The sequence below is a fragment of the Homo sapiens genome, chromosome X (assembly GCF_000001405.40).
Source record: "Homo sapiens chromosome X, GRCh38.p14 Primary Assembly".
In the NCBI taxonomy this organism is placed as follows: domain Eukaryota; kingdom Metazoa; phylum Chordata; class Mammalia; order Primates; family Hominidae; genus Homo; species Homo sapiens.
In genome coordinates this window covers 124553706-124569330 of record NC_000023.11, presented here as the reverse complement: position 1 = coordinate 124569330, position 15625 = coordinate 124553706, and the positions used below count along the sequence as shown (strand labels likewise).

Here is a 15625-nt window from a genome sequence, read left to right as displayed (position 1 = left end):
GAGGGGGGCTGTAAAGTCTCTGACTATGATTGTGAATTTGTCCTTTTCCCTTTCTTCTTCTTTCAATTTTGCTTCATTTATTTGGCTTACTGCTTTCTTCAGTGTTGGGTTTTGTTTGTTTGTTTGTTTGTTTGAGACAGGGCCTCACTCTGTTGCCCAGGCTAGAGTGCAGTGGCATGAACATGGCTCACTGCAGCCTCGACCTCCTGGGCTCAAGCAATCCTCCCACCTCAACTTCTTGAGTAGCTGTAGGCACATGCCACCACACCCAGCTATTTTTTGTATTTTTTGTAGAGATGGAGTCTCACTATGTTGCACAGGCTGTTCTCAAACTCCTGCGCTCAAGTGACCTGCCCACCTCACCCTTCCAAAGTGCTGGGATTACAGGTGTATGCCAATGTGCCTGGCCAATGTTAGAAATGTATTAGCCATTATCAATTCAATTTTTTTTTCTGATTCCATGAGACTGAAAAAGCTCTACTCAGCCTCTGAGCCTTCTAGCTCCCTCTAGTATAATTGACAGATGCTGCTATAGGAAAAGCATCCATAAATGTCAGGCTCTTCTCTCTGGGTTTTCTTTTTCTTCTGGAACTTGGCACAGTAATTCTTTACTGTTTTGTGAACTCCACTAACTCCCAAAAGATTTAAAAATATATTTTGTTTAGATTTTCTAGTTCTCATCAGAAGGGAATAGTAAAAATTACTTAGGTCCCTATTACTAGAAACAGAATTCCACCTTTATGTTTTCATATGCATACTTGACAAAGTACCAGTTACCTAACTCCCGAATAATATAAGGCTTTCCAAATATTTCATTCAGGACACTCCATCTTACATATTATTAAACGATAGTATTTTATTTCTACATTGTTTCCTAGCTCCAGATTTTTTATTATTATTATTTTATACTCAATAGTCAGTACTTCTTTGTCATCTCTCTGGGCTAGTGGGTACAGTTTATTACTCACCATCTTACTGTGATTGCAGCCTTTCAAGTGGCTCCAACTTTATGCTGGAGATTTAGTCCAACTCCATCTGAAATGGTGCCAAGACCTCATCTCTTTTTTCCTTGTGGACTTAAGTACCCAAGCCCCTAGTCGTAATTGGGTATAATAACTCTCAAGGCTACCAGAGGATTGACTGCTTTGGCTTTTAGCATCCTCTTTGCTTCTGGCACTTGAAGATTTCTCTTTTTTTGTGAGCCAAGACATGCAATTTAAAAAATTGTTACATTATATCCAACATTTCTAATGGTTTATATAGAGATAGTTTGAAAATAGCCTACTCTGCTATTTGGCCAATACTGTTCATCTAGTCCTATTACTTTTCAAACAGAAATCAGAATGTTATACTCCTCTATGCCTAAGATTTATAGTTGTACAAAGCAATATATGAAAAATGTTTGCTTCTAACTATTCTAGGCAGAGCTGACTTGATTAGCTTTAACCAATTAGCACCTAATCTTATAAAGGCCCTTTCAGTTCAGTTTTTAATGTCTTGGGAGGAGGCCGTGAAGGGGAACAGAATGATAATATCAGCCTTACTACAAGGACTGAAGTTATAAATACAAATTATCAGAGATTCAGACCAAGATTCGGGACCAGGGGTTCTTTTGGGATAATTCTACCTGAGCTACCACTTTTTAAGCCAAGGCCCACGTTTTTAAGATACGTTTTTCTATGCCCTAGACTTTTCTCACAACCTGATGAGTCCCTGCACAGCTTTCCATTCACTTTTCCACCCATTCCAATTTGGCTTTTCAACTACACCTTTATCAGTACAGCTCTTCCTAAAGTCATCAACGAATTCCATGTTGATAAATCCAATGGGCACTTCTCTGCCCGTGCCTTACTTGACCTCTCAGCAATATTAGATGTAGTTAAACACTCCTTTATTGAAAAGTGTCCTCTTGTGCTTTAGTTACACCACAATCTCCTGGATTTCTTCCTATCACTCACTGCCATCTCCATCCCAGTTTCCTTTGATGGTTCCTCTTTTTTTCTACCTGATCTTTCTTCAGGGCTCTTCTATTCCCTGTTTAGAGGTATCAACCAGTTATTTCCATGCCTTTAAATACCACCTATATGCTAATGATGGCCAATTTTATATCTCCAGTCCTGGCCTGTCAGAATCATATATTCTGCTGGTTGCACTGACATTTTCACTTGGCTTTTTACATATATCTTAGGGTTAATCTTTTTGATCTTCCACCCTTATTTTTCCCTTAGCCTTTCCCATTTCATTAATGACAGCTTTATCTATCCACTTGTTTAAGCCAAACTTTTATTTTTCCCTTTCCTTCATCCCTTATATCCAATTTTGAGCAAGTCCTGTTGGTTACATCTCTAAACTATATTTCAAATCTGTCCAACAGCTTTGTGATGTATAAGTATTATTACTTCTATTGCATTCTTACGCAAACAGAGATTAAGACAATATGTTAGTAAGTTGCCTAAGGGTCCATAGGTACTAAGCAGAGGAATCAAGGATGCAGTTATCTTTATTTCAAATTTACTACTCTTCCCATCATACCCTGACCTTCAAAGAATACTTGTGAGTAAACCCATGAACAAATTGATCCAGATTATAATAAAACTCATAATCATGGCTTTATCAGAAGAATATTGTCATCTACTGAAAAATAACTCTGCTATCTGTGGAGAATATTAATATCAATGCCTCTAAATATATTAAACTAGTTTCAGAATTTGAGACTGTGAAAGAGACAACCTGGCTTCCAGAACACCCTCTTTTCCTTTCAGGAATATGTGGCCTATTGTTCCCAAAACATATTTCATTCTTTCCGTAGGTTTTTATCCTACTTCTCTTCCTCCAGCAAGGGAATTAGATCACGAAAGAGGCTTGCCATGCTTTTATGTTGGTTTATCTACTGTCATGACTTTATTAATATTCAGCATTTCTCAACAAAAAGTCAAAGGGACAAAGGAAAGAAACTCAGCAGAGCCAGTACACATCATCATTATTATACTGTCTAAATACTTAGTAGCATTTGAAGATAAGAAGGATGTGTACTTTAATCAACCAGGGTTAATTTTATATGCTTAAAATAAATGCAAATATTGTTAGTATGATCAGGGAAACCAGCTGGTTGTCATCATTGGCATCTTTACCTTTTGTATATTATGAATTTTATTAGAAAGTTATTATCTTTCCAATTAATGAACTTGTCTTTCTGAATGAAGTTAGGGCACTGTTTTATTGGGATTTTTCCCCCAGTGATACCTTATACTATCATAAAATTCCTGCAACATTATCTGTGATCTTAATGAATTTTTAGTGAAACCCACTTGGCATTTGTTTGTCATTAATCTCATTTCTAAGCCTTGAATGCCATTATCATTTTATAGACTTCTCAGAATCAGTTTGGCTTAGAGTTTTATATTATTCTTAGAGACTTAACTACCTCTTTTTAGAGTTTCTTGCACATTCATTCAGATGCTAGAGATCTTTGTGACATCTTGTTTATATAAATTGTTTATTAACATTTTGTTTAAAATATAAGTATGGGCAGGGCATGGTGGCTCACATCTGTAATCCCAGCACTTTGGGAAGCCAAGATGGGAGGATCACTTGAGGCCAGAAGTTCAAGACCAGCCTGGTTAACCCAGCAAGACCCCATCTCTATTAAAATAATAAATAAATAAAATATAAATATAGACAGGGATTTTTGGTAATTATAATGTTTTTTGGAAGAATGGATGCTGGTTTTAACAAAATATGTTAATATGTCTTCTTTGAATTCCCCACAGAGCTGTGTACCATGGAGTGTGGTAGCCATGGAGTCTGCTCAAGAGGAATTTGCCAGTGTGAAGAAGGCTGGGTAGGACCAACATGTGAGGAACGCTCCTGTCATTCTCATTGTACTGAGCATGGCCAATGCAAAGATGGAAAATGTGAGTGTAGCCCTGGATGGGAGGGCGACCACTGCACAATTGGTAAGTACCACCATACTTTAACCAAAGTAAGTTGGATTAGTTGAAGTTAAGAGCAGTCTAGTGAGTCAATCACAAGGCATTTAGTAGAATTTGAGGTTGGAGTAGGGGAGGAGAAGGAGGGTTGGTTACAAGTTTTAAAGTTTTGTGAACTGGTAGGTTTCTTCTTTTGTCGATGACATTCTACGTATTTCTTGTGTTATTTCCTTTCTTATTACTTCAGTATTCCTTATGTTTTCTGCTTTCAAGTGCTTTGAGTTACTCAAGTGAAAGATGTTACATTGGAATAAGGTGTCATTAGTTAATAAGAAAAGTGCTTTTGTAGTGAAGGTAACATTCTCTGCCCATTTTTCCTTTTGAAAAGTATAGGTTGTTTCAGTTGAAAGCACTTAGAGGCAATTTCATTAAATGGGACTACTTTAACAGGGGCCATTCGATATCATTAGAGGCTGTCTTTAATGTATATGAGGAAGGCACTTCTGACCTATCATCAATAGAACATGTGTGTTGAATTGTTTATCCGGTAGTGTAGAGAGTTGGTCCTGAAGCCACCACTCTCCCTTCACCCCTTATTGCTAATTTCACAAAGGGAAAATGATCTGTGAATATGGAAAAGCCTATGTAATAATTAATTTATCATGTGATCTTCACACTATAAAAGATATTAAAAATAAATATTTCAGTTATAAAACACTTTCTTTTTCTGAAAAAAAGCAAAGCCCTTAACATATATTTCTATCCACCGCTAAGGTTTCTATGCAAGAAATCTTTGCATAGAAAGGTTGTCATTAATACAGAGTAACAAGTATGATTCCCATTGTTCAGCTAAAGAAAGGGGGTCACAGAGTGTTCCAGTGGCATTCCTTGACTACACAGAAAATTCATGCAGAGCAAAGGCAAATGTGGGCCTCTGGATACCCAATTTATTGTTTGTAGGCTTTTCCCTCACTAGACTATACTACAGCTTTCATTTTTAGGTGAAAGTATTTTGTTATAATGGTTGGAGCTTGCCAAAGTAATGTATAATATATATAATACATATAACATATAATCTTCATAAACTGCATTACTTCTCTACTAAAGGTACAGTAAGTCTTGTTCTGCAACTGTGGGAAATATTTAAGATTCATTAAAAAGGTGGAGAGGGGTGAGATTCAGATGTGTAGCTTAAGTAATTACATTCCTGTACTACAGTAAGTTTATTGCCTTTACATAAGAGGATTTAAATATTGTGATGATTACCATAGGTGGTTACTCCAGAACTCTCTTCTAAAGATATTACTAATAAGAAGTTGAAGCCAGTGCTCTTTCACAGGAGTTATTACTGAAATGTGAAAATGCAGTTCTTATACTTCTAATGAAATATGACACTTTTTATGAAGCCTAATAGAGTTTCTTGCAGAAATGCCATTAATATTGTTCTCACAGAAAATATTATTCACAAACTACACAGGCCCATGTACCCAACTTTTGAGCTGCAGGCATTTCAGCAGTGCGCAGTTTGCTGTTCTCCTCCCAGGCAACAGATGGTAAACCATTAGTACATATTGTATAGCTTTAGTCTCTCAGAAATTCATTTGATCACTCTTTTCCCCTCCCTTTTAGCTCACTACTTAGATGCTGTCCGAGGTAAGATTTTTCTCACTAATTTTATAACAGAAATATATTTTTAAAAGAAAATATGCATGTAAGAAAGAAAGGGTAGCGTTTTTTGGCATTTGTGTTGTTTGTTTTTATTTTTGGCAATCTTATTTAAATATAATGTTGTCAGTTTCATGCTAAAATAGTCACACTAAAAGGTAATTTGTTTTTTCAACATCAAAGAGTCACTTTTTCCCGTAGTATAGAATGGACTGATAAGCAGTTTTAAGGACTACTTTTTCTTGTCTTTATATTGAGTTCTGTGTATGTGTGTGTGTCTGGATCTGTGTGTATTACACAGGTAATTATTAAATAATTTTTAATAATTTAATAATTATTAAATAATTTTTAATAATTTAATAATTATTAAATAATTTGGTTCAGAAGATGAACTTTCTCTTTAACATAACAATATGGCTCCAAGTCCATATACAAGGACTCCTAAGTCCTTACAGGGGCAGGAGAATTATCCTCCTAGAAGTATCCCATCATCCATCCCTCCAAGGAGCTTCCTTTAACAGAGACAGCAAGGGTTTTTCTGCCAGATATCCTAGTGCCTTTCATTACCTCAGCTTCAGAAGTTTAATATGTCCCAAATTATTCTTTATTTCACCTTAATTATCTATTGCCTATCCATTAGAATAGAACTACAAAAATTCCCTTCTCAAACCTATGTATGTTTATCATATGCCATGTCATGAGTATATTACGTACATCAAGCTTTTCATATTTTCTAACAACCATCTGTCATTTTATTTTTAAATTTTTTCTTCCTCTTGTCTGTTGATAGTTGCTTGGAAAACTATTTAGAAGGAACACTGGGTTACTTCTACAGATTTTTTAATCTTTTTTTTGTTTTGCTCTTTATGCTTTTGGAATTTTCTTTCAAAGAAAGAAACCGAAATGAATATTGACTGGGCTATTCCCAGTAAAATTCACGTCTGGTCCTGTGTTGCTACTAGGAAAATACCCAGTAGCATTATAGTTGCTTTCTCCATTCATCTGCCCACTGCGCATGTGGCGCATGTGAAGTTACCCTTTGCTAGAGCTGAACTCCAGACTACGGGTACAAAGAGTAGGGCATCCCTGAGAAATTTAAAGTCTAAAGAGGAACCATTGTCAGTGTTAATGCTTTATCAATGGATAAAAGTTATTTAAATGCTACACTTTCCTCTTGACTTGATATTTTCCAGTTCTCTATAATTCAGAAAGTCTAGATCTGGCATGTATTAATTCCATAAACACTTATTTAACATTTAATATTATTGTTATAAGCATAATATCATGCAAGCTTTTGAGAGAGATACCATGGAAGTAAAGATTTCAATCGTTAGCCCGCAGATGAATAATAATCTTGAAGAGAAAAGCTGAATAAATATAAAGCAACTACAGCACATTTCTAAGGCACCATATGAACAAATACTTAATGGTGTGGTCTGAACTGTATACCAACATACTTAAGTCCTGAAGCAATACATCATAAGGGAAAATCAGCACAGACTAGAAGTAGTAGGGAAAGTTTCTCTTCATAGGGACTGCTATCTTTTCCCAACATATTGGCCATAACTAGATACAGTGTCATCCGTATAGTTTTGATTGAGATGAGGAGATATGTTTAGTGAAAAGAAAAAAAGAATTCTTGCCCCTGCCATAGTTTTCTTCCTATATGAACCAGGGGTTGGGAATTGGGGTTAGCATTAATAAAGCTTAATTGGCTCTCTAAGGAAAACCACTGCAGAGTAAGGGATAACAAGTTCCCTGGGAAGGTTTTGCAGGCAAGCAAGCTCCTCTTCCATTTATTCAACACCTCATCTGAATGGGGCCCAGATGGTTAGATGCTTCCCTATAGGCAAATACATCATTGTTGGCCAATCCCATTCTGATGTCTCTGTGATGGTTACTCTCTGATGTCTTTTCAGATGGCTGCCCAGGGCTCTGCTTTGGAAATGGACGATGTACCCTGGATCAAAATGGTTGGCACTGTGTGTGTCAGGTGGGTTGGAGTGGGACAGGCTGCAATGTTGTCATGGAAATGCTTTGTGGAGATAACTTGGACAATGATGGAGGTGAGTCATTTATAAAATGTTCACGTAAGAAAGGAATAGCCCAGCCTCTAGCACAGTGGTAATCAACCTGGCCAAGGGTGAAAATTAGGAATCTCTAGTATAAATGATACTGAGTTATATAGGGTAATGCTACCTTTTAGTCTCAATCACATTAAGAAGACATTACTTATTGAATATTACTATGACCAGGCAGTACTCCAATTTTTTTTGCATGTGTTATGTATCATTTAATTCTCACAATAACCCTATGAGGTATAGGTATTACTATTTTCCCCACTTGTAGATGGGAAAATTAATGCTCTGGGTGGGGATAGTAAGTGACTTATCCAGAATCACATAGCTAGAGAGTAGCAGAGCCAAGTCTCCAATTTAGGGCTATGTGACTTCAGAGCATATTTTCTCAACTACTACACCATGCTACCTCCCATACCCATGGCATTTATCATATCAAATTAAATTAACATACCACTATTCAAGTTGTTTGATGTTAGCATAGTTTGCACTAGACATGCTAAAATATTTTTCTTTGTTGTTAGTTATTTGGAACTCCCTCTTGTGTGTCTACCTTTTAGTAGCACTTTATACCTTTCAGAGGACATAGCATCGAGACAATTTATGGTAGAATTTTAAATATTTAATCAAGGAGCTGCGCATGATATTTTTTAAAACCACTGTGGCTCCAAGACCTCAGAGTTACCACTTCTCTTAGGAAAGCCAACAAAACATCTAACACACTGTATGATCAGACATCAAAACTGCCCAAACCACCTCTGAGTGAGCCTAAAACAACAAATCCTCACTTTCCACATACCTTCTACTCGAGGAAACATAAAATTAACAAAAAATTTTGTTTGAATTTCTGTATATTAGCTTAAAATGAAGTATATTATTAAATTTGACACTTCACATTTCTATATCTGCTTAGACAATTGCATTCCTTGTCATTTGAATTCAGACATGAGGCAGGATTATATTAATAAGGTAGCAGTCATGGCTTAAGCACCAAACTGCATTATAAGAGTTTCTTCCTTTACTTGTTCTGGCTAACAGTTAACCTTTAAAAGTTTTAAGACCTTATCAAAATTAAGTGGAGGCAACTTTGTGATTAAGAACACAGAGATTTGAAGTTAAACTGTCTGGATTCAGATACTAGCTCTGGCTCTTATACTAGCTGCATGATTTGGGACAAGTTTTATGATATCTCTGTGCTTCCATTTCCTTATTTCTAAAATGGGGTTGATGATATTAAATGATATTACCATTTTTCCCTATAGTAGAATTAAGATGATATTGATGATAAATATAGATTCAGTTCTACTTTGAGACAGAAGGATAGGTTGAATAATTAGACACACACTGTCTAATAGGGTTGTAATAAGTATTAAATGAGATAGTTCAAGTGAGCCACTTGAAAGATAGTAAACTACACCACACATACACACACACACACACACACACACACACACACACACACACACAAATAGAAGAGACTATTTTCTGAAGAGACTGTTTACTACCCATATAACTTGAAAACCTTGTTTTGGAAACCGGAGTGAAGTTTTCAATCTAATGATCCACTGATAAACTATTTAGTTTATTTTTATGGCCCTCTAAGACTCATCTTCACTTTCCTTCTTGTCTTTTTCATTATATACCTTTTACCTGGCACATCTTCATGTCTTCTCCACCCATTGTTCTCTGTCCATAATTTAAGTCTCAACTTAAACCATATCTCCCATGAAACTTCTGACATCCACCTCCTCAATTACCCATGGTGTTGATAATATGCACTATACAATCAAACACCTAATTATATTCTGTATATGGTTTTCTTGTTGCATGTTAAGCATGACCCATTGCCCATAGTTATATTCCCAATATGTTGAAAATAATAGTATCTCACTTGTATTCAGGATTTACTATGTGCCAGGCACTGTGCTGAGCCCCTTATGTGAATTATTTCATTTAATCCCCATTATGTAGGAACATTTTTTTTTCTTTTTGAGACAGGGTCTTGTTCTGTCTCCCATTCTGGAGTGTAGTGGCACAATCTCAGCTCACTGCAACCTCTGCCTCTGGAGCTCAGGTAATCCTTCTGCCTTAGCCTCCTGAGTAGCTGGGACTACAGGCACACACCACCACTCCTGGCTAATTTCTATAATTTTAATAGAAACAGGATTTCACCATGTTGCCCAGGCCCGTCTCAAACTCCTGGGCTCAAGCAATCTGTCTGCCTCAGCCTCTGAAAGTGCTGGGATTTCAGGTGTGAGCCACTGCACCTGGCCAGGAACTACCATTAACACTACTTTACAAATTAGGAAACTGAGACACAGAGAAGTCAAGTAAGTTGTTAAAAATCACATAGTAAGCAAATGATAGGTCCTGGATATAAACCTAGGTAGTCTGCTTCATTCTAAAAAGGATTTGGTATAATAATAGGAATTTCTCAGTTATGTATTGATTAAAATGTTATGCTCAGAAAACACATTAACAACCTATGCAATTATAATTTCTGGCTCAGTTAAGGTTGAGCCAATGTTTCCTGCCTTAGTAAAGTAATAAAAATAATTGAATATTTAATTATCACCATTTTTTATGGCCTCAAGGTCATCTCAAGGCAGCCAAAATGTTTAAAGAATGGATCAATTAAATATTAATGAATTAATGAATTATCAATTCTCAATGCCTGTGGTCTATGTAGATTCAGAAGACATAGAAGATTTCACTGAACGTGTATTGACCTGTGAACATTCCTTAAAACTATGTATCTATATGCAAATTAAAAATCAAAGACCTTAATATGAGCTCAGTATATTTTTATGATCGTCTCTTTAGGGAACGGGGGGAAAGCTCCTTGAGATTTCCGATTACCATTTTTCCCTATAGTAGGATTAAGATGATATTGATGATAAATATAGATTCAGTTCTACTTTGAGATGGAAAGATAGATTGAATAAACTCTGAAAGCCCCATGACTAAGATTTTAAACCAATAATTTCATTTTTATACTGTTCAAATATTACCCCTGAGAATATATTAAATGCCCTTCATTTGGTAGTCTCAGCTTTCCAGCTATCCATAATGGCTGGTTTCATTTAGTTAAATATGACTAATTATTAATATTTGCTTAATATTAATATTAGTCTACTTGTTTGTGCATGTGTGTATATGTGTGTGTTTTAATTACATTAGAAAGCACCAATTGAACCGTTTTGGGAAAAAGTAGTTCTAATTTTAAAAATGTAATTCTTAAGAAATCTTCCCAATCAAAAAAAATCACTTTCAAGCATTTGCTTCAAGTAGCTGCTACCTGATTACTCCATATTATAACTGATACTTAAAGAATGGTGGAATTTTTTTGCATTCTAATCAGCTTTGAATACTCATTAGTATTGCTGCTACTTCCTGAAGCTTTGACTTTAGTTACCCTCTGATTCAATGCATTGTGATTCTCAGTAACTAATTGGGCTGCATTGAATATGTGGGTGACACCGCTGGTCCAGAAACTACCTAAAAGCTCCTTGAACAGTAAAAACAGAACAGAGAAAAAATAACCTTTGGATGTTTTTTCTTAAGTGCAAAAAAGGAAAGCTATCTTATGTATTGTATATACAAGAACTAATTACTATAGAAGTCACAAACCTATGAAATGTCTTGACCTCATTCATCTCTTTAATCAAGAAGCACCTACCACATGCACAACCCTATACTTGGAGGAAAAAACTTACTATGGTGACCACATTTTCATTTGTTAATCATGTGTCCTAATTTGGAGTTGGTTACATATGATCACCATACATTACATGCACATATGAATTAACATCAGAAAAAAAGTTTGGACATTATATTAACTGAGTCAGAATAGCTAAAACAAACAATAGTGAAAGATAGAACTATCAGACATTAAGGCATATTTGAAAGCTATGATAATTAAAGCAAAGTGGCACTGATGTGAGAATAGACAGATTAATGCAACTGAATAAAAGCTCTAGAACACACCCAAGTACAAAATTTAGTATATTATAAAACTGGCATCAAAAATCAATGGGGTAAAATAAGCATTATTAAATAAACGGAACTGTGACAACTCTTAAGAAAAATGCCTTAGATTTTTTAATTCATACCATATACCTAAAGAATAAGATAAATAAAAACACTTCAACTGGATTAATGAGTTAAAAGTAAAAGAAAACAAACAATTCAAAAAAAAAAGTGGTGATAGATCTTACAATGAGAAAGCACTTTGTAAACATAAAAAGAAACCATAATAGGAAAAAAAAACAATAAATTTGACTTAGTAAAAATGTAAAACTTTTTTATAATGTTTAGCTAAATGTGTAGACCATCCAATATCTAAATATTTGCAGACATCAAAATCTACACTGTCTAGTATGGTAGCCACTGGCCACATGTGAGTATTTAAATTTAACTTAAATAACATAAAAAAATTCAGGATCTCAACTGCACTAGTCACATCTCAAGTGCTCAGTAGCCACATGAGACTAGTAGCTACTGTACTAGACAGCACAGTACTAGAACATTCCTAGCTTTAGGAGAAGTTATATTGGATAGTGATGATCCAAATGTTTCACTCAAATGTTACCTTTAGGCCAAACATTTCACATTAAGTACCTGGTTTTCCATTAATTCATTACTACTTCTTGCTAACTATTGTGCTTGACACTGGAGAGAAAATGATAAACAATACAAGTTTCTGCCTTCATGGAGCTTATGGTCTAGCAAGGCAGGTAGATATTAAATAATCCACACAAATATGAGGGACTTCAAAAAGCTCATGGAAAGGGAGACTTGAAATATAAATATTTTAAAATATAAACTTTATTTCTCAACAAAAATATAAACTTTACTTCTACATCAAGTTCAAGACAATTTTGTAAGGGATGAGTCCATCCTGATATAACTGAGGGTCCTGGGAACTTAACCAGTCTTCTTTACATTGTTAACTGAAGAAAAATGGGTACCCTTTAAAGATTTTTTAAGATTAGGAAACAAAAAAAAATTAGAAAGAGGCAAATCAGAACTGTAAGTAAGGTAAATGCGTAATGATTTCCCATTGAAACTCTTGCAAATTGCCCTTGTTTAATGAGAGGAATGAGCAGGAGCATTGTCATGGTGGATTAGGACTCTCTGGTGAAGCTTTCCTGGGTGTTTTTCTGCTAAACCCTTGGCTAACTTTCTCAAAACACTCTCGTAATAAGCAGATATTATCGTTCTTTGGCCCTCCAAAAAGACAACAAACAAAATGCCTTGAGGACCCCAAACAACTGTTGCCTCCTGGGTTCAAGCTATTCTCCTGCCTGAGCCTCCCAAGTAGCTGGAACTATAGGTGCATGCCACCCCCGCCCCTCCGACTAATTTTTGTATTTTTAGTAGAGATGGGTTTTCACCATGTTGGACAGGCTGATCTCGAACTCCTGACATCAAGTGATCTGCCTGCCTCAGCCTCCCAAAGTGCTGGGATAACCACTGCTGTTGACCAGTCCATTCTTGCTTTGACTGGACCTCGTCCACCTCTTTGTAGCCATTGTTTTGATTGTATTTTGTCTTCGGAGTCATACTGGTAAAGCCACATTTCATCTCCTATTACAATTCTTCAACAAAATGCTTCGGGATCTTCATCCCATTTATTTAAAATTTCCATTGAAAGCTCTGCTTTTGTCTGCTGCTGATCTGGGAGTAACAGTTTTGTACTCATCAAGTGGAAAATTTGCTTGACTTTAATTTTTCAGTCAGAATTGTGTAAGCTGAACCAATTGAGATGTCTGTGGTGTCGGAACTGCTACTGCTGTTCATCATCGATCCTCTTCAATTAGAGCACAAACAAGATTAATTTTTCCTCACAAATTGATGTGGATGACCTGCTGCTGCAGGCTTCATCTTCAGCATCATCTTGTCTCTTCTTATAATGAGTTATCTATTTGTGAACTGCTGATTTCTTTGGGGCATTGTCCCCATTAACTTTTCATAAAGTATCAGTGATGTCATCATTCTTCCACCCAAGTTTCATCGTAAATTTGATGTTTGTTCTTGCTTCAATTTCAGCAAAATTCATGTTGCTCTGACAGGGACTCTTTTCAAAATGATGCCTTATCCTTCTTAGTGCCTCAAACTAGATCCTGTTCAGATGTGTTACAACAAGTTAGTATGACTTTATTTTAGTGGAAAAAAAATTTGAACTCCTTGCATAGTTTTCTCATGATACACATTTTCCAAGAACTTTTTGAAGATCCCTCATAGCTATATATTTACAACTGTGAAGAGTGCTAGAAAAATTTTATAATTTTAAAATTGTGTAATTCTATAAATGTGCATGGGGACCTGACCTAGTCTGGGTGGTGAGAGAGGCCTCACATGAGTCAGGGGAAAAACGTTCCAGACAGAGGAAACAGCATGTATATATGCCCTGAGGTGGAAATGTACTAGGCTCTAAAGTAAAAGGCATGTCTTTGTGGCTGGAACATGAGTCAGGAAGAGATTAGTATAGAAAAGTAGTCAGGGGCCAGATCATACAGAACATTGTGAGTTTTACAAGATCTTCAGTTACCATACAAAGATTCCATTTCATTCACTCGACTTATGGAGGAAGGAAAGTGGTCTCTGATATTGTGGAAATATTTTCAAGGAGGCTCAAAAAATGTAGAGTAAGAGTGTTTAATCCAAACAGCCTTTTTTTCTCTGATCTTTTAAGTATTTATCACGTTTGTCCAAGCTTCTCTGGTATAAACTCTTCCAGTGGTCTATATTCATATTCATTGGTAAAATCAATAAGTTAATTGCCTAAAAGAGAATGATCTTCCAGGAATCATTCTTCATAACAAGTCACCATTCATTAAGAGCAATAGCTATTTGCAAGCCTCTTTTATGATGTAGTGTTTCTAGATCCAGAAAACAGCACCATGGGTGAGTTATGAACACATACAAGCTCATGGATCAATGAGCCTCATGTTTAGAATGGCACCAGCATGCTTCAGTGTTTAATAAATAGGAAAATGAAAGAGAAGGAACAATGAATTTATAACATTTACTCTATTTAAGAGGCAGACATCTTCACATTTACTTTTGAGATTTGGTTGGAGACAAAAGACTTGGCATCAGAAAGCATATTTCTAATTATTCTTTTCTCACCATACCCCTTTAATTTTGAAGCAACCCATTTATTAATGGATCATCACTTAGTTATAAGAGCCTAAACTGCCCAAGTGCCTCCAGATGCAACTGCAAAGTAGAAAATCTCAACTCTGTAACTGTTCACCACTGTATGACTGGGCCCATCACATTATCTACCAACTAAGGCTACTGATACTTGATATCTGTCTACTTTGCAGTGATGAAAATGAATGAGAAAAGAGTTGAAATACAGTCATTTAAAGTGGGCAATAAAAGTGTGTTATCAATGAAGAATCTGTTAATAACAATTTGATATATTAGTTGGACATTTGTTAATCTCTGGGCACATTTACAAATGTCATAGAAATAGGACTTTTATGGCATCCATTTATTCATTATTCAAATATATAATGAATGTTCATTTTTTGGGGGGGAGGATGGAGTCTCGCTCTGTCACCCAGACTTGAGTGCAGTGGTGCAATCTCGGCTCACTGCAACCTCCACCTCCTGGTTTCAAGCTATTCTCCTGCCTGAGCCTCCCAAGTAGCTGTAACTATAGGTGCATGCCACCCTCACCCCCCAGCTAATTTTTGTATTTTTAGTAGAAATGGGTTTTCACCATGTTGGCCAGGCTTGTCTCAAACTCCTGACATCAAGTGATCTGCCTGCCTCGGCCTCCCAAAGTGCTGGGATTACAGGCGTAAGCCACCGTGCTGGGCCTTGAATGCTTACTTTAAGCCAGGTACTGTTCTAGTCATTGAGGAAATAGCAATGCATAAAAAAGATAAAATTCATGCTTCCATAAAGCTTATATTCTAGTTACAAGAGGCAGAAATT

The 15625-nt window shown here is 36.0% G+C and overlaps 1 protein-coding gene across 14 annotated transcripts in view; it reads left to right on the top strand.

Moving 5' to 3' along the window:
* TENM1 (teneurin transmembrane protein 1) overlaps positions 1 to 15625 on the top strand; it is an 828410-nt gene that overhangs the window by 634982 nt on the left and 177803 nt on the right. For 12 of the 14 annotated variants that reach the window (XM_017029210.3, XM_017029211.3, XM_017029214.3 and 9 more), the window contains 3 exons: positions 3771 to 3956; positions 5559 to 5582; positions 7514 to 7660. In XM_017029210.3, coding sequence (XP_016884699.1) covers positions 3771 to 3956; positions 5559 to 5582; positions 7514 to 7660 — 357 coding nt within the window. Of the gene's footprint in view, positions 1 to 3770; positions 3957 to 4004; positions 5483 to 5558; positions 5583 to 7513; positions 7661 to 15625 lie in introns of those variants that run through there. The other 2 variants (XM_047441760.1, XM_011531236.4) reach the window with 2 other exon arrangements.